We start from the raw sequence: 19,554 nt of genomic DNA, 5'->3' as shown, positions 1-19,554 counted from the left end.
TACATCAGCAAAAGCAGGCATATGGGATTTATCCAAACATGACATGCAACGCAGATTTGTTCCATATGATATTGTTGGACTAGAAACTGTTACATAGTAAGTAAATGGGTGAGTGTGTCTTCCCGTGAGAGTGCGATGTCAAATGTCATTCCTTATATCGTGTTTACTCAGTGTATTTAGAGACGAAAAAGTCACTAAACCAAAAAAAGGAGTGTTGCCAAGAAGTTGTATAGCTTTTCAAGAGTGTTTATGGCAAAAGTCGTTAATTGAACAGTAATTGAACAGGTAAGTCTGTAAACTGGACTTCACCTTGCTTTTTTCCCATGTAAATGTAGATTAGAGATGGGAGCAGTGGCTCACACCTGTAATCCCAGCACGTTGAACGGCTGAATCACCTGAGGTCAGGAGTTCGAGACCAGCCTGGCCAACACGGTGAAAACCTATCTCTACTAAAAATACAAAAATTAGCTGGGGGTGGTGGTGTGTACCTGTAATCCCGGCTACTTGGGAGGCTGAGGCAGGAGAATCGCTTGATCCTGGGAGGCGAAGGTGTCAGTGAGCTGAGATTGCACCATTGTACTCTAGCTCGGGCGACAAGAGCGAAACTCCATCTCAAAAAAAAAAAAGTACACACACACACACACACACACACACACACTAGAGATTTAAGCAATGGAGTGGCATGGTCAGACCATGCTTTTTTTTTTTTTTTTTTTTTTTTTTTGAGGCCGAGTCTCACTCTCTCACCCGGGCTGGAGTGCAATGGCGCGATGTCAGTTCACCGCAACCTGTGCCTCCCAGGTTCAAGCGATTCTCCCTTGTCAGCCTCCCGAGTAGCTGGGATTATAGGCACCCGCCACCATGCCCGGCTAATTTTTGTATTTTTAGTAGAGACAGTGTTTCACCACATTGGTCAGGCTGGTCTCAAACTCCTGACCTCAGGTGATCCACCGCCTCAGCCTCCCAAAATGTTGGGATTATAGGCATGAGCCACCGCACCCGGCCCAGACCATGCTTTTAAAAAATCTTTCTAGCATCTGATGTGGAGAGGATGTATCCAGAAGTACAAGTCTTGAAAGAGGCCAGGAGACTAACGTGTCCAAGCAAAAGACGATGAGGTCAGTGGGGCAGAGCTGAGTCCTGACAGAGGCCCAAATGTGCATGTGAATTCTGAGGATGATAAAGGTAGCATTTCCAAACTATGGGTTAAGAGGAGCTACTCAACAAATAATGATGAGACATTTCAACTGTGGGAAAAAAGTAAAGTTGTATCCCTATTTCACTCCAAATGTAAAAATAAAATCCAGATGGACAAAAGGTTCGAACATAAGAAATTAAAGAAGAGACCGGGCCTTGGCTCACGCCTGTAATCCCAGCACTTTGGGAGGCTGAGGCGGGCGGATCACCTGAGGTCAGGAGTTCAAGACCATCCTGGCCAACGTGGTGAAACCCCGTCTCTACTAAAATACAATATTAGCCGGGCATGATGGCGGGTGCCTGTAATCCCAGCTATTTGGGAGGCTTAAGAGGCTCAGATGGGAGAATCCCTTGAACCCGGGAGATGGTGGTTGCAGTGAGCCGAGATAGCGCCACTGCACTCCAGCCTGGGCGGCTCAGCGAGACTTTATCTCAAAAAAAAAAGAAAGAAAGAAAAAAGAAATGAAAGAAGAAAAAAAATATAGAAGGAAACATGAGTGGATGAAAAGAAATAGCCTGAGTGGAGGAGCATGACCCGAAGCTGAAGTCATAAAGGAAAAACAATATGACAACATCAAAAAACGTAGTTGTGGGGGAAAACAGCATATGCAAGACAAACAGCTGCGTGAGAAGCGGCATCTATAACACATTGCCTGTTTCTCTTGGATAGAGAAAAGCTCTTACAAATAAATAAGAAAGTAATATCGTTTCATGAAAATGAATAATGTACATGAGTAGGCAGTAAACAAACTTACAAAAAGAGACTTGACCTCACTCATAATTTAAAAATAGTTTTGGGGCTGAGCTTGTTGGCTGACGCCTATAATCCCAGCACTTGGGGAGGCTGAGATGGCAGGATTACTTGAGCCCAGGAGTTGGAGACCAGCCTGGGCAACATAGTGAGACACCATCTCTACAAAAAATTTTTTAAAAATTAGCCAGGCCTGCTGGTGCGCATCTGTGGTCCCAGCTACTTGAGAGGCTGAGGCGGGAGGATGGATTGAGCCCTGGAGGTAAAGACTGTAGGGAACCATGATCATGCCACTGCACTCCAGCCAGGGCAACAGAGTGAGATCTTGTCTCAATAAAATAAAAAGTAAAAAATATTTGGGAGGCTGAGGCGGGCGGATCATCTGAAGTCGGGAGTTCGAGACCAGCTTAACCAAAATGGAGAAACTCCGTCTCTACTGAAAATACAAAAATTGGCCGGGTGCAGTGGCTCACGCCTGTAATCCCAGCACTTTGGGAGGCCGAGGTGGGCGGATCAGCTGAGGTCAGGAGTTCGAAACTAGCCTGACCAACATGGAGAAACCCCATCTCTACTAAAAATACAAAATTAGGCCAGGCGCGGTGGCTCACGCCTGTAATCCCAGCACTTTGGGAGGCCGAGGTGGGCGGATCACGAGGTCAGGAGATCGAGACCAACCTGGCTTAACACGGTGAAACCCCCTCTCTACTAAAAATACAAAAAATTAGCCGGGCAGGCGCCTGTAGTCACAGCTACTCAGGAGGCTGAGGCAGGAGAATGGTGTGAACCTGGGAGGCAAAGCTTGCAGTGAGCTGAGATCTCGCCTCTGCGCTCCAGCCTGGGTGACAGAGTGTGACTCCATTTCCAAAAAAAAAAAAAAAACAAATAAACAAACAAACAAAAAAACCAAAAATTAGCCGGGCATGGTGGCACATGCCTGTAATCCCAGCTACTCGGGAGGCTGAGGCAGGAGAATCGCTTGAACCTGGGAGGCAGAGGTTGCGGTGAGCCGAGATCGTGCCACTGCACTCCAGCCTGGGCAACAAGAGCGAAACTCCATCTTAAAAAAATAATAATAATTTTGGAACAAGATGATGATATACTCTTAAAACAAGGATGAAAATGTCTTCACAGTCAGTCCAGGCAACACTGGGGGAGATAAACCTTCTCCCATGCTGTCGTTGGAGTATGAATTGGCAAAACCTCTTTGGGAGGTAATCTATCGATATCTATTTTTCCCCAAAAAATTTTAAATGAAAAATTTCAAATATATAGAAAAGTTGAAAAATTATATGGTGGACAACCACATCACTACACTTAAATTTGACAATTGTCAACACTTTTGAGTGTTTCTTTTATCACGTATATCTATCTACCCATCCAGCAAGCCATCTTATATTTTGATGCATTTTAAAGTAAATTGCACGCTGGATGTGGTGGCTCACACCTGTAATCCCAGCACTTTGGGAGGCCAAGGCAGGTGGATCACTTGAGGTCAGGAGTTCGAAACCAGCTCGGTCAACATTGTGAAACCCTGTCTCTACTAAAAATACAAAAAATTAGCCGGGCATGGTGGCAGGCGCCTGTAATCCCAGCTATGTGGGAGGCTGAGACAGGAGAATCGCTTGAACCCGGGACACAGAAGTTGTAGTGAGCCAAGATTGCACCACTGCACTCCAGCCTGGGCGACAGAGCAAGACCCCATCTCAAAAAAAAAAAAGAAATTAATAAAAATAAATTGCTGACTTAAGTATAATTCAACTCTAAACATTTCAGCATACATATCAACAAAATGTGTTTGTGCTTCTTCTTTAAGGTAATATTTACATACAGTGACATGCACAAATTCTAAGTGGACCATTCATTGCGTGTGTTCTGACACATGCACACCTTGGTAATTCAAACACCTATCAAGATATAGAATATTTTCATCATTCCAGAAAGTTCCTTCTAGTCCCTTCCCAGTTAGTCCCATCCTCTCAAGCATTTTTTTTTTTTTACTATAGGTTAGTTTTGCTGGTTCTAGAACCTCATATAAATGGAGTTATACAATATGATTTTTATTGCCTTAGCTTAACAAATCTGCTGTGCTCTGTTTGAATTCCCTTTCCCTACATCAGGGTCATAAAATTCCTCCAGAAAGAAAGCTGAGGGTAACGACAGGGCTCGTGTTATTTGTCCATGTTTTCTAGAGATCACTGTCCTGCTCTGCCCATTGTCAAATGTCTGAAAACATTTTATAGGTTTTGTCCAGTATTCTAGTTGTTTATGGTGAAAGAATTAGTCCAGTACCAATGATTTCTTCATGGAAAGGCCAAATAAGGGACACTTTGAGAACCAATATAGTGATAACAGATTATAACCATTGAATAAAATAGAATTCATGAGCCTATTCTGCTGTAAATAAAAAAAATCACACATAAATGAGAAGAAAGAAGGAAGACCTAAGGCTTCTGTCACTCAGCATAATGATATTTGTTGTTGTTGTTTTGAGACGGAGTCTTGCTCTGTTGCTCAGGCTGGAGTGCAGCGGTGCAATCTCGGCTCACTGCAACCTCTGCCTCCCAGGTTTAAGCAATTCTCCTGCCTCAGCCTTCTGAGTAGCTGGGATTACAGGAACGTGCCACCGCGCCCAGCTAATTTTTGCGTTTTTCGTAGAGACAGGGTTTCATCATGTTGGCCAGGCTGGTCTCGAACTCCTGACCTCAAGTGATCCAGCCGCCTCGGCCTCCCAAAGTGCTGGGATTACAGGCATGAGCCACTGGCGCGCGGCCAGCATAATGATTTTTGGGATTCATCACGCTGCTGTATCTGTTGTTGACTCCTCTTTACTCCTGAGTAGGATTCTACTGTAGGAATATACCACAGTGGGCTTTTCCAGTCTCCTGTTGATGGACATTTGGGTTGTTTGCAGTTTGGGGCTCTTCCGAATAAAGCTGGTATAAAACATTCTTGTGCAGGCAGTTTTGGGGATACGTTTTCTCGTGGGTCGCTTGAAGGGGGTACATAGAACATACACAGGCCCTCTTCCTGGGGCTCACAGTCTACTGTAACTTCAGTACAAGACGCAGTGACGTGAGTACACGCTGTGTGTCAGGTGCAGAAATGACAGTAAGAGGCGTGAGGAGGTGGGAAGTGCTTCTTTGGGGAGAGCTAGGGGCGGCTTCTTGGAGGAGGGGGGCTCGGGTACTGGTACAGCTTGGTTTAGTAGGAGGATCAGAGGCTCTGGGTCAGATACACCTGCGTCTAGTCTTTCTCTCTCACACACACATAAAGATCCCTGGGCAGTCTCACTTTTCTCAGCTGTAAAACGGGGTTCATGACACCACAGGATTTGCTGGAATAACGGGAGTAAAAGGCCTCTTTCATTAAACGCTCCTCTTTTCCCTACAGGCCTGGCCCTGCTGGCCGCTTTCAATGTGGATGTGGCCCGGCCCTGGCTCACGCCCAAGGGAGGTGCCCCTTTCGTGCTCAGCTCCCTTCTGCACCAAGACCCCAGCACCAACCAGACCTGGTGAGTAGGGCCGGTGGGCAAGAGGCCTTCAGACTGAGGGGCTTCCAGGCAATCTGAGATGGGCCCCAGAGACGGCCATGGCAGCCCACCCCACCCCACCGTCAGGAGAGGAACTCCTTTCTCTTTCAGAAGGGCATGCAGGAGAAAGAGAGAAGGTGTGAGAGAGGCTGTGGGCATCGGGCTGGTCTGTGGGGTCCACGGAACCCCAGCCTCACGCCTCACTGGGCCTCTCCCTGCTCCATTGCCCAGGGGGAGGGTGGACTTAAAGACAATTTTAGTGGCCGGGCACGGTGGCTCACGCCTGTAATCCCAGCACTTTGGGAGGCCGAGGCGGGCGGATCACGAGGTCAGGAGATTGAGACCATCCTGGCTAACACGGTGAAACCCTGTCTCTACTAAAAAATAGAAAAAATTAGCCAGGCGAGGAGGCGGGCGCCTGTAGTCCCAGCTACTCAGGAGGCTGAGGCAGGAGAATGGCGTGAACCCGGGAGGCGGAGCTTGCAGTGAACCGAGATGGCGCCACTGCACTCCAGCCTGGGCGACAGAGCGAGACTCCGTCTCAAAAAAAAAAAAAAAAGACAATTTTAAAATAAAGCATATTAAGGCTCTTTTGTTCCTTATGGAAGTAACACATGTTCAATATAGAACATTTGGAAACAAAAAATAACAAAGAAAAAACTGGGCCTGGCACCGTGGCTCACGCCTGTAATCTCAACACTTAGGGAGGCTGAAGCTGGAGGATTTCTTGAGGCCAGGAGTTCAAGACCACCCTGGGCAACATAGTGAGACCCCCCCAACTCAAAAAAAACCAAAAACTGTCTGGGCATGGTGGTGCCTGCCTGTAGTCTCAGCTACTTGGGAGGCTGAGGCAGGAGGACCACTTGGGCCCGGAGGCCGAGGCTGTAGGGAGCCGTGATTGCACCACTGCACTCCGGCCTGTCTCCAGAACAAAAACCCTGAAACTATGAGGAACAAGCGTGTACTGGTAAGAGGCAGGCTGTGGCTCTGGCAGCCAGGGTTCAGTGGCAGCTTCACCGTGGATTTGCCGCATAGCCTGAGCAAGGTGCTCGGGCCTGAGCTTCAGTTTCCCTTCTCTGCAGTCAGCGTGGGGAACTACCTACTTCACAGGATTGTCGCAAAGACTATTTGAGATAATGCATGTAAAGGGCTTAGCACAGGTTCTGCCGGGCGCGGTGGCTCACGCCTGTAATCCCAGCACTTTGGGAGGCCGAGGCGGGCGGATCATTTGAGGTCAGGAGTTGGAGACCAGCCTGGCCAACATGGTGAAACCCCGTCTCTACTAAAAATACAAAAATTATCTGGGCGTGGTGGTACACGCGCGTAGTCCCAGCTACTCGGGAGGCTGAGGCAGGAGAATTGCTTGAACCTGGGAGGTGGAGGTTGCAGTGAGCCAAGATCGTGCCATTGCACTACAGCCTGGGCGACAGAGCAAGACTCCGTCTCAAAAAAAAAAAAAAAAAAAAAGGGCTTAGCACAATTTCTGGCCACATTAATGCTCAATAAACATTACTTTACATTTTTTAAATATCATCTATACCCACCTATTAGATAAGCAAAATGTAAAATCTGCCAACATTGCTGGTAAGGTTGCGGTGAAACAGGGACGTGTGGGAGTGTGAATTGCGATCACCACCTTGGAGAGCAATTTTGCCGTATCTGGTAAAGCTGAGGATGCACGTGGCCTCTGACACTTCCACTCCCCGATCCCAGCTCTAGAGAAATTCTCAGACACATATAAAAATGTTTGTGTGCCGGGCGCAGTGGCTCACACCTGTAATCCCAGCACTTTGGGAGGCCGAGGCCGGTGGATCACCTGAGGTCAGGAATTCGAGACCTAGGCTGGCCAACCTGGCGAAACCCCGTCTCCACTAAAGATACAAAAAAAAAAAAAATTAGCTGGGTGTGGTGGCGGGCGCCTGTAATCCCAGGTTCTTGGGAGGCTGAGGCAGGAGAATTGCTTGAACCCAGGAGGTGGAGGCTGCAGTGAGCCGAGATCGTGCCATTGCACTCCAGCCTGGGTGACGGAGCGAGACTCTGTCTCAGAAAAAGAAAAGCAAGCAAAAAATGTTTGTGGTAGCATTGTTTGGAATCATGAAAGACTGGCAATATTCCTCTTAGGAAAATGGGAAAAATACTGATATGACTCATGCAATGCAATACTAAAAGCAGATCCCCTGAATGAAGCCAGTGCAATGGTTGTTTACCTGGATCCATCTGGAAACATACCGTGAGTTGAAAAAGGCAAGTTGTAGAATTTAATATACAAAGGTTGGCAGGTGCAGTGGCTCACCTGTAATCCTAGCACTTTGGGAGGTCAAGGCGGGTGGATCACATGAGCCCAGGAGTTCGAGACCAGCCTGGGTAACACAGTGAGACCCTGTCTACAAAAAATATAAAAAAATCAGCCGGATATGGTGGTTTAAGCCTGTAGTCCGTCCCAGCTATTGGGAGGCTGAAGTGAGAGACCTGCCTGAGCCCGGGGGCGGGTGAGTCGAGGCTGCAGTGAGCCGCGATTGTGCCACTGCACTTCAGCCTGGGTGACAGAACGAGACCCTGTCTCAAAAAAAAAAGAAGCAAGTAAGTAAAATATGCATTCCCTCAGATGGCGATGGTGGCCGCGTGCTGATGTAGGAGTGTGTCTGCAGTTAGGAGAAGCTCTGGTGGAAAGGGTCATGAGATCCGAGGCTCATTTGAATTTCCCATGTGTCACCAAAATGACTTTTATTTATTTCTTTACCTATTATTTATTTATTGGAGACAGAGTCTTGCTCTGTCACCCAGGCTGGAGTGCAGTGGTGTAATCTCAGCTCACTGCAACCTCCGCCTCCTGGGTTCAAGTGATTCTCCTGCCTCAGCCTCCTGAGTAGCTGGGATTACAGGCGCCCGCCACCACGCCCAGCTAATTTTTTGTATTTTTAGTAGAAACAGGGTTTCGCCACGTTGGCCAGGATGGTCTTGAACTCCTGACCTCAAATGACCTGCCCACTTCGGCCTCCCAAAGTGCTGGGATTACAGGCATGAGCCACCGCACCTGGCCCCAAAATGACTTCTAGTGCTGTGTTGTTTTAAAGCCAGATCTGGTCAAGGTTTATGTATTACGTATTGCTGTTATGTCTCTGTCATTGATTTCAATCCAAAGCAGTGATTTCTCCCCCATTTTTTTCTGGGTGGTCATAGGGCTTTTCTTGTGCATACTCTCCCACTGAGCGGGCCCAGCCTAGGATGGTTACCTCCTCATCCCACCCCAGCCCACCAGATTGCTTTGCTCCTGGTCAGTGGTCAAGGGTTTCCTTCACACCCAGCACACAGGAGCAAGTGAGCCCAGGGTTCAAACAGGCACTGGGGCAGAGCCAGGTGAGGAGCCAGGGTTCCTGGCTGGGCAGGGCGGGAGCTTTGCTTGAATAGGATGGGTGGGCAGTGGTGGCTCCCGAAGCAGCCTCATAGGCCCTGGGACTTGGGCCTTGACCCTGACAGCCAGGCAGACTTGGATCCTGTGATACTGTGAAATGTATATTTGACATTCCAAGACTGAATATATATTTTACAATATAACAAATAAAAATATATTTGGTCTCAAAATAAACATTTGGTCCCATTATCTGGCATACATGCCTAAAATCTCTGGAATCTCCAAAGTAATAAATGTCTTTTTCTTTGTTAATGAGTTGACGGGGGACCGGCAGCCCCCAGATAGCTTCAAAATGGGGGCTGGTCACTGGAGAGAACCAGGCACGATCAGAGGGTTGGGACTTTCAGCCCCACACCCCTCTTCTGGGAGAGAAGGGCTGAAGGTTTAGTTGATCACCAGCGGCCAGTGATTCAATGAGTCATGCCTATGTAATGAGGCCTCCATAAAACTCAAAAGGACAGGGTTTGGGGAGCTTCTGGGTAGCAGAACATGTGGAAGTTTCTGGAGGGTGGCCCCCGAGAGGGCATGGAAGCTTTGCCCCTCACCCCCACTTTGCCCCTCACCCCCACTTTGCCTTATGCATCTCCTCATCTGTATCCTTTGTAATATCTTTTTTTTTTCTTTTTGAGGCAGAGTCTTGCTCTGCCACCCAGGCTGGAGTGTGGTGGCATGCTCTCGGCTCACTGCAACCACTGGGTTCAAGCGATTCTCCTGCCTCAGCCTCCCTAGTAGCTGAGATTACAGGCGCCTGCCACCACGCCCATCTGAGTTTTGTATTTTTAGTAGAGACGGGGTTTCACCAATGTTGGCCAGGCTGGTCTCGAACTCCTGACCTCGTGATCCGCCCGCCTCGGCCTCTCAAAGTGCTGGGATTACAGGCGTGAGCCAAGGCACCTGGCCTGTAATATCCTTTATAATAAACCAGTAAATGTCGGTAAGTGCTTCTCTGAGTTCTCTGAGCCACTCTAGCAAATTAAGCCCAAGGAAAGGGTCCCAGAAACCCTGATATGGTTGTTTGGTCGAAAGCACAGGTGAAATAACCGGCGGCTGGTGATGGGCCTCGGAAGTTAGGAGCAGTCTTGTGGGACTGAGACCTCGACCTGTGAGGGCTGATGCTACCTCCAGGTGGAGCATGTCGGAATTGAGTTGAACGTGAGGACCTTCAGCTGGAGCTGGTTGCCGAAGGACTGCTTGCCCCGTGTGGAGGGAAAACCCCACCCACCTGGGGTCACTGGACTGTTCTGTGTTGTGAGAGCTGCAGGGGAGACAGAGCTCGACGTTTCCTACATCATTAGAGAGTCCTTTCTGGATCCTGGTTTCATCGGTGCAGTCAAAAGTCTGGTCACTGCCAGGCGCGGTGGCTCACGCCTGTAATCCCAGCACTTTGGGAGGCTGAGGCGGGCAGATCATTTGAGGTCAGGAGTTTGAGATCAGCCTGGCCAATATGCTGAAGCCTTGTCCCTACTAAAAATACAAAAATTATCTGGGCGTGGTGGCGCGCACCTGTAGTCCCAGCTGCTTGGGAGGCTGAGGCAGGAGAATGGCATGAACGCGGGAGGCGGAGCTTGCAGTGAGCCGAGATCGCGCCACTGCACTCCAGCCTGGGCGACAGTGAGACTCCGTCTCAAAAAAAAAAAAAAAAGTCTGCTCACCATTAGATTTAAGTGGTAAGGATGGGGCCAATTCATTCATTCATTCATTCATTCATTCAGCAAGTATGGATGGAGCACTTACTCAGTGCCAGGCAATATTTGGGGAATAAGAGGGAGACATGGTCACTGCCTTCATGGAGCTCCCGGGCTCATGAGGGAAACACAAGCTAGACGATGACAAGAGTGACAATGACCCCACCGAATAACAGCTCTGTTGGGGGACGTCCGAGGTACGGGGGGGCGCATCGAGGCAGGTGTGTTCATCAGCGTCTACTAGGATTTGCAGGGTGACTGGGAATTAGCATGAGAAGGAACGGGAAGGGGATGGCAGGCACAGAGAACAGCTTGATCAGAAGCCTGGAGGCCGGCTGAGTAAGGTCAGGAAACTGAGAAAATCACGTGTGGCTAAAGCTGACAGTGATGAAAAGTAAGCTGGGAGAGTGTGGTGGTGCCTCGTCACCCAGGCACTGAGGGTTTGGAGGAACTAGAGGGTCTGAAGCCGGGAGGGGTGGTGAGGTTTTCAGGGAGTTTTGTGTTGCACGAAGATGAATTAAAGGTCAAGATTGTGTTTGGTTTGGGTAAAATTTTATCAACATGTGCCATACAGAAGAATGCACACCCGGCTGGGCGCGGGGGCTCACGCCTGTCATCCCAGCACTTTGGGAGGCCAAGGCGGGCGGGTCACCTGAGGTCAGGAGTTCCAGACCAGCCTGGCCAACATGGTGAAACCCCGTCTCCACTAAAAATATAAAAATTAGCCGGGTGTGGTGGTGGGCGCTTGTAATCCCAGCTACTTAGGAGAGGCAGGAGAATCGCTTGAACCCGGGAGGCGGAGGTTACAGTGAGCCAAGACCGCAGCATTGCACTCCAGCCTGGGCAACAAGAATGAAACTCTGTCTCTCCAAAAAAAAAAAAAAAAAAAAGAGAAAAATGCACACCTCATAAGCATGCAGCGCAGTGAACATCCGCAGAGTGAAGCACTGTGTAAGCAGCATGCAGATCAAGGGCACGTGAGCTGCGGCGCCTAGGCCCCCTCTAAGCCCCGCACTCCCTTCCAGACACATCTGCTGCCAAGAGTAACCCCCAGCTGACTTTCATCTCCGTGGATTAGCCTCGCCTGGTTTTGCATTTAGTATCAACGAGGCATACGGTGTGTGCCCCGCTACGTCGGGCTCCTCTCTCTCCACATAAGGCCTGTGAATTTCATCCATCGTGTTGCCCCAGGCGGTACTTCTTCTGGTTGCCAGGGTTACATTGTGTCGACAGTACTGATGATTGGCATTTGGGCTGTTTTCTTGGGCTGTGATGAATAGCACTGATGTGCACCTCCTTTTGATGGATGAATGTTCTTTTTTTTTTTTAATCCCTCAGAGTTGATCCCAAAGAATGTACTCATTTTTGGGGAGGGCATATGTGCTCAGGAGTGGGATTGCTGGGTCAGAAGTTATGCAATTGGTTCTGCATTCAGTTTTCCATACTGTTTGTAGGGTGTGAGCAGGTTTCAGTCAGCGTTTTCTGTAACTGTCTCCTGCCTAGTTCCCTCCCACCAATACCCAGCGACCCCACGCCTCAGCTCCAGGTCCCACCGACATTCACAGCCCCTCTCTCAGAAGCCTAAAGGCCAGGGTGCAGGAGAGAGTTTGGAGCCCGTGTCGCAGAGGGCTCTGAGTCCACCAGGGGCTGGGGGAGGGCCCAGCGGGGCTCCCTGAACACCTGCTGAAGCAGAGAGGGGCTCCCAGGCTTGAACACGCTGGGGAGGAGGATGTGGTGGGAGGCACTTCTGGGTTCCTGCTGCAGAGAGTGGGGCCTGAGACCACGGGCCTGCTGCATGGGGCAGGAAGTGCGCTGGCTGGCCAACTCGGGCCTAGAAAAAGGCAGGGGCTGTGCTCCTGCTTGAGAATGACGTGTGCCTCTCACTCACATTGTCTCTCTTAAAATGTAAGAGACCAGGGCTGGCAGCATCATGGGTTTTGGTTGCCACAGAAGGTATGGGTGGGACAGACAGCAGACATGGAAATAGACCCTGAGGGCTGGGCATGGGGGCTCACACCCGTAATCCCAGCACTTTGGGAGGCTGAGGCCGGCAGATCACTTGAGGTCAGGAGTTCGAGACCAGCCTGGCCAACATGGTGAAAACCCATCTCTACTAAAGATACCAAAAAAAAAAAAATTTAGCTGGGCATGGTGGCAGGTGCCTGTAATTCCAGCTACTCAGGAGGCTGAGGCAGGAGAATCACTTGAACCCAGGAGGCAGAGGTTGCAGTGAGCCAAGATCATGCCATTGCACTCCAGCCTGGGCGACAGAGTGAGACTCCATCTCAAAAAAAAGAAAAAAAAAAAAAAGAAAGAAAGAAATAAACCCTGAGAACAGGACAGGTTAGAGCTGGGTGAAGGCAAGATGTGAGCTTCAAGTCAGTGACCAGTTAAAAAGATTGTTAAACATTTAAATACAAAATACTAAATAAGGTCAGGCATGGTGGCTCGTGCCTGTAGTCTCAGCACTTTGGAAGGCCAAGGCAGGCAGATCACCTGAGCTCAGGAGTTCAAGAGCAGCCTGGCCAACATGGTGAAACCCCATCTCTAATAAAAATACAAAAATTAACCGGGTGTGGTGGTGGCACATGCCTGTAATCCCAGCTACTCAGGAGGCAGAGGCTAAGGCAGGAGAATCACTTGAACCAGGGAGGCGGAGGTTGCAGTGAGCCGAGATCACGCCACTGCACTCCAGCCTGGGAGACAGAGTGAGACTCCATCTCAAAAAGCAAACAAACAACGAAAAACATACTAAAGCAATAAATAAAGGCAGGAGATGGACAAGGGTTGCTGGGCTGTACCCAGCTCAGGGTGTAACAGGGCCCCTGTGGCTGCGAGCTGATGGCCAGTCCTCTGTCAGAGCTGGTGGGTCAATGGTTTGTCAGCCACGTGGTCAACAAACCTGCAAACTCCCGGCAGTGGGGGATAAAAGGTGTGGGAAGCAGAGGCAGCTCAGAGGGCCCCAGGCCATGTCATTGCATGATGGCGGCATGAATGGCAGTCTTGGGATCTGCAGTGCGCACCCTGCACAGCTGTTCATGATGGCCTCCTGGGAACGCGCAGTCCAGGTGGGAAGAAAGGGTGGGGGTGGGGTGCTATAGTCAGGGCTGCTGCAGGGCCTGGAGGGGATCAGGCTGCACTTCCTTTGGGAAGGCTTCCTGAGGAGCTGGGGTTTGGGATGATTGCTCTGCAGCAGGAGGGATCGCAGGCAGAGGAAACAGTCCGGGCAGAGGACTGAGGAGGAGAGAGACTGGAGGCGGGTCCAGGCCTGCACCTACCCCACCAAAACGGGGTCTGCGGTGGAGCCCAGTTTTGACCCCACCCTTCCTGGGGGAGCAGGGAAGGAGATGCTGGGTCTAGGGCTGAGGTCGGGGCTGGGGAGAGAGGCAGGGTTGCTAAGGAAGCAACCTAATTTGGGGGCTCAGCTGCAGAGCCGGAACAGAGGAGCAGCTCTCTGCTGCACCCAGCCCTCCGCCCCTCAGCCCTGCCCCAGATGAGCCCCCTCAGCTGTTGCCTGGGCTGTTGTTCAATAGTCACTCAACACTTACTGAGCCCTTGTTCTGTGCCAGGCATTGCTCCAGACCCTGGGAATAACACAGTGAAGAAGATAGACAAGATCCTTCGGGAGCCTACTGTCTCGTGGGGAGACAGATAATAGGCACTATCAGATGATGGCAGGTTCTGAGAAGGAAATCAAACAGGGTGATGTGAAGCAGAGTAACTGGGTTGTGAGGCACGGCTGGGTAGAGAAAGCATTTATGAGGAGGTGACAGGCGAGGCTGGGGAAGGAGAATAAGCCAACCTTGGGGAGAGTGGAAGGTGAGGGCTCTGGGAATAGGAAACAGCGCGGTGGAGGGAACAGTGCCGTGGAGGGAACAGCGCCGTGGAGGGCCTGAGGCAGGAAATGCTGGCGCTGGTCACCCAGGAACTGGGGCTGCCACTGACAGAAGGGACATTGGTGTAAACTACATGAGTGGGCCAGGTGCTGTGGCTCATGCCTGAAACTCACTGTAACTCACTAGGCTCACTCCCAGCAGTTTGGGAGGCCAAGGCAGGAAGATTACCTGAGCCCAGGAGTTCGAGACTAGCCTGGGCAACATGGCAAAACCCCATCTCTACAAAACATAAGAAAATTTGCCAGGTGTGATGGCACGCATCTGTGGTCCCAGTTACTTGGGAGACTGAGGTGGGAGGATCGCTTGAGCCTGGGAGGTCAAGGCTGCAGTGAACCGTGATCATGCCACTGTACTTCAACTTAGGTGACAGAAGGAGACTCTGTCTTAAAAAAAAAATTACATGAGTAAATTAAAAACCAAATAAGTGGGCCAGGCACAGTGGCTCACTTCTATTAATATAGAAGTTTTCTTGTAGTTTTGGAGGCCAGAAGTCTGAAAAGGTGTCAGCAGGGCTGGGTCCCTTCTAGAAGCTCTGGGGGAGAATCTGTTTTCTTGCCTTATTTGGCTTCTAGAAGCTGCCTGCATTCCTTGGCTCACGGCCTCCTCCTCCTCAAGCCTGCAGCATAGTAAGCTTTGCATCTTTCTCTGACACTTTGGAAGACCAAGGTGGGAGTGCTTGAGCCCAGGATCAGCTTGGGCAACACAGTGAGACTTCATCTCTATAGACAAATTAACAAAATTAGCTGGGCAAGGTAACTCGCTCCTGTAGGCCCAGCAACTTGTGAGGCTGAGGTAGGAGGATTGCTGAGCCCGGGAGGTCAAGGCTGCAGTGAGCTGTGATCACACTACTGCACTCCAGCCTGGACAACAGAGCAAGACACTACCTAAAAAACAAACAAACCCCACAAAATAACAGGAGGCTATTACCATCAACAAGGCAGGACGATGATGGAAGGAGCATCTGGAGAAGAGTTGCTTTCTAGAAATAATTTGGAGAGTCAGGCACGGTGGCTCATGCTTGTAATTCCAGCACTTTGGGAGGCTGAGGTGGGTGGATCACCTGAGGTCAGGATATCAAGACCAGCCTGGCCAACATGGTGAAACCCTGTCTCTACTAAAAATACAAAAATTGGCCGGGTGTGGTGGCTCACACCTGTAATCCCAGCAATTTGGGAGGCCGAAGTGAGTGGATCACCTGAGGTCAGGAGTTCAAGACCAGCCTGGCCAACATGGTGAAAACCCCATCTGTACTAAAAATACGAAAATTAGCTGGTCATGGTGGCGGGCGCCTGTAATCGCAGCACTTTGGGAGGCCAAGGCAGGAGAATCGCCTGAACCCAGGAGGTGGAGGTTGCAGTGAGCCGAGATCGTGCCATTGCACTCCAGCCTGGGCGACAAGAGTGAAACTCCATCTCAAAAAAAGAAAAAAAAAAAAAAGAATTTGGAGAGAGAACCAACAGGGTTGGCAGGTGGATTGGATGTAGGGCATGAGTGAAAACACGACGAAGTGAGGATGCCTCCTGGGTTTTGCCTTGAGAACTTAGTGGTTGCTGGTGCCATTTGCTGTGGCGGGGAAGATGAGAAGAAGCAGGCTTGACAGGAAAGACCACAGGTTCTGTTTGTTTCCTATCGACGCTGTAACAAGTTACCACAAATGTAGTGGCTTACAACAACACAGGTTTATTATTATTATTATTATTATTATTATTATTATTATTATTATTATTATTATTATTTTGCACTCTTTCACCCAGGCTGGAGTGCAGTGGTGAGATCTCAGCTCACTGCAACTTCCACCTCCCAGGTTCAAGTGATTCTCCTGCCTCAGCCTCCCGAGTAGCTGGGATTACAGGCTTTCACCACTATGCCCAGCTAATGTTTGTATTTTTAGTAGAGACGGGGTTTCACCCTGTTGGCCAGGCTGGTCTTGAACTCTTGACCTCAGGTGATCCGCCTGCCTCGGCCTCCCAAAGTGCTGGGATGACAGGTGTGAGACACTGAGCCCAGCTGCAAGTTTATTATCTTGTAGTTTTGGAGGTCAGAAGTCTGAAAAGCTATCAGCAGGGCTGGGTCCCTTCTAGAAGCTCTGGGGGAGAATCTGTTTTCTTGCCTTTTTAGGCTTCTAGAAGCTGCTTGCATTCCTTGGCTGACGGGCTCCTCCTCCTCCTTAGGCCTGCAGCATAGCAAGCTTCACAACTTTCTCCGACTCTGATTCTCCTGCCTCCCTCCTAGAAGGACTTTTGTGATTACACTGGGGCTTTACAGCCCAGCCAGGACAGCCCTGGGGGCTTCTGGGATGGGAGAGGCCTCCTTGGGAGGCTCCCAGCATTCCCTGCAGTCTCGCCACTTCTCCCCTCTGCCTGCCTCAACGTCCCCCTGAGTCCCTGCGGCTCGCCCATGCCACCGTTTTCGGGGCCTCCCTCATAGAAGGACCCTTGTGATTTCACTGAGCCCACCTAGATAATCCAGGATAACCCCCCCATCTCATGATCCTTAATTTATTAACTCACATCTACGAAGTCCCTTTTGCCATAAAAGGCAACATATTCACAGGTTCTGGGGATTAGGACGTGGCCTTCTTTGGGGGGCCATTATTCTGCCTACGATAGCAGATGGAGAGGTGGGAATTTCAGCCGTTATAGGTGTATTGAAGCCATGGGCTTGGAAGGGATCACTAGGGAGAGTGTGCCGGCAAGGAAGACAGTGACCCAGCCCCCAGATCCTGGTGGCAGATAGAGGTCAGACCGCGAAGGCACCAGCGAAGCCTTGAGGAATGAGGAGAGAGTAGGCAGAAATCTAGAAAAAAGTGTTCGAAGGAGATGGTTACTCATGTTTGGGGCTTCTGAGAGGTTGAGGAAGATGAGGACAGAGAGCGGTCCGTTGGATGTGGCATTGTGGGGGCCCCTGGTGACCTTCACAGGAACTGACTCAGAGGGTGGGAAGTCAGCTTGGGGTGGGTTCAGTTGTGGGTGGGCGGATGGACGCACAGGTGCAGACTTTCTTATTATTCTGTAAGCCATGCCGATACGTGAATATATTTCATAATGTATTAAAATGTAGAGTGATAGGAGTTGAGGAAGTGGAGACGGTATCTCATTTCTGCCCCACCTTCCTGTGCTCTTTAGTCTGTCCCAACCCACTGTAGCCACATCATGACCTTTTTTTTTTTTTTTTTTTTTTGAGACAGAGTCTCGCTCTGTCACCCAGGCTGGAGTTCAGTGGCGTGATCTCGGCTCACTGCAACCTCTGCCTCCTGGGTTCACACCATTCTCCTGCCTCAGGCTCCCGAGTAGCTGGGACTACAGGCACCCGCCACCACGCCCGGCTAATTTTTTGTATTTTTAGTAGAGACGGGGTTTCACCATGTTAGCCAGGATGGTCTCGATCTCCTGACCTCGTGATCTGCCTGCCTCGGCCTCCCAAAGTGCTGGGATTACAGGCGTGAGCCACCGCGCCCGGCCTCATCATGAGCTTTTGAAAGCACAGCTAATCATGTGCTTCCCCTTTATAAAGTCCTCCATGACTTCTACTGCCCTCTGCAGAAAGACCTTGGACTTGGTTCACTGTTAACCACCAAGCCCCTCGTCCCCTCCCCACCATCCCCTATGACAACCCCCGGAGCTCACTGTCTGTCTCAGGACAGCCCAGTTCTCCTGGGTAACGTGGATGGTGAGAATGTTGAGGCTGTCCCTGGAATCTGCCGTCTCCCTGGACTGGGCCTGGGTGGGGGCAAGAAGTTTGCAGTCAGGAGGCGCAGCTCTTGAGGCTGCCTTAATCAGGCTGAGGCAGCCACCCCCAAACCTCCAGTTCTTTTATTTATTTATTTATTTATGAGACGAAGTCACACTCTGTCCCCCAGGCTGGAGTGCAGTGGCGTGATCTCCGCTCACTGCAACCTCTGCCTCCCAGGTTCAAGCAATTCTCCTGCCTCAGCCTCCTGAGTAGCTGGGACTACAGGCACACGCCACCATGCCCGGCTAATTTTTGTATTTTTAGTAGACACGGGGTTTCACCATATTGATCAGGCTGGTCTCAAAGTCCTGACCCCAGATGATCCACCTGCCTCAGCCTCCCAAAGTGCTGGGATTACAGGCGTGAGCCGCCGCGCCCGGCCTCCAAACCTCCAGTTCTGACTGACCCACAGGATAGGGGCACCAGCGTACTCTTCTCAGGAACTAAGGCCAGGCAGGGCAGGCCCCCTGGGTGGCCCACGAGGAAGCCAGCACTGCCCCCAACAGAACCAACCCCAACGCTGGTGGTTTTCTGGCCTCCCCATCCCTGTCCCCATAAGAGAGCAGAGTTTTTATTAACCATCAGTATCACCCCTTCTTTGTCAGGGTGGGCAGCAGGCAGAGAGGGGTTGCATTTAACCATTTCCTGCCTGGTGCTGTGTAGAAGCAGAGGTTGGGCAAATGTCTTCCCCATAATCCAGAGTCTGGGCTAGGAATCTGCCGGCCAGACAGGGAGCTTGTGAGTGCAGGCAACTGGAATGGGAAGGGTGCTGGGCAGGCAGGGAGAAGACGAGGAACATCAGCCAGCTCAGCTTTGCAACCTCCCCTCCCACTCAGGCTCCTGGTCACCAGCCCCAGAACCAAGAGGACACCAGGGCCCCTCCATCGATGTTCCCTTGTCCAGGATGAAATCCTTTGCCATCCTGTAGGTAAGTCAGCCCCAACTCCAGGGAATGCTCCCCAGGACCCCCTTTCTAGCAAAATCCCCCTCATCTAAACTCAAACCATTCCAACCCCAGCCCTGCCTCATCCAGCCCGTTCACCCCTAGACTCCAGCATAACCCACAGCAAGATTCCATCCCAATGCCCAGTCCCACCCCAACCCAATCCTAATCCCCAGCCACCTTTCCTGACACAGTCCTAGCAACAGAAATGATACCTACAGCGTATTGCGTGCCCACCCTGTGCCCGGCAGTCCTCTGAGTCATTCTGTTTTCATCCTCAAAACCGCGCCATTTATAAGAGAGGAAGCTACAGTTCAGAGAATGTAGGTCTTTTGGTTGCCAGTATGACAAAGTTCACACTTTTAGTGTTGGTGGCTGATTCGAAACTCTAGCCCTTCCTGATGCAAGT

General features: G+C 50.5%; 1 protein-coding gene across 3 annotated transcripts in view, besides 2 other annotated features; it reads left to right on the top strand.

The window, feature by feature from the left end:
• ITGAE (integrin subunit alpha E) overlaps nucleotides 1-19,554 on the top strand; it is an 86,561-nt gene that overhangs the window by 18,190 nt on the left and 48,817 nt on the right. For all 3 annotated transcript variants that reach the window (NM_001425071.1, NM_001425072.1, NM_002208.5), the window contains exons 2-3: nucleotides 5,339-5,459; nucleotides 19,039-19,130. In NM_001425071.1, the coding sequence (NP_001412000.1) occupies nucleotides 5,339-5,459; nucleotides 19,039-19,130 (213 nt within the window). The remainder of the gene's footprint in view (nucleotides 1-5,338; nucleotides 5,460-19,038; nucleotides 19,131-19,554) is intronic.
• Nucleotides 12,230-12,349: an enhancer, noted in NCBI's record as "active region_11516". NCBI's record gives its function as "activates an Ori minimal core promoter by ATAC-STARR-seq in GM12878 lymphoblastoid cells {active_cell/tissue: GM12878}" and the evidence as "EXISTENCE:reporter gene assay evidence [ECO:0000049][PMID:35858748]".
• Nucleotides 19,221-19,320: an enhancer, noted in NCBI's record as "active region_11515". NCBI's record gives its function as "activates an Ori minimal core promoter by ATAC-STARR-seq in GM12878 lymphoblastoid cells {active_cell/tissue: GM12878}" and the evidence as "EXISTENCE:reporter gene assay evidence [ECO:0000049][PMID:35858748]".

Source organism: Homo sapiens, chromosome 17, assembly GCF_000001405.40.
Source record: "Homo sapiens chromosome 17, GRCh38.p14 Primary Assembly".
Classification (NCBI taxonomy): domain Eukaryota; kingdom Metazoa; phylum Chordata; class Mammalia; order Primates; family Hominidae; genus Homo; species Homo sapiens.
Note: the sequence above shows the minus strand (reverse complement) of the source record. Positions and strands in the feature narration are given on the sequence as shown.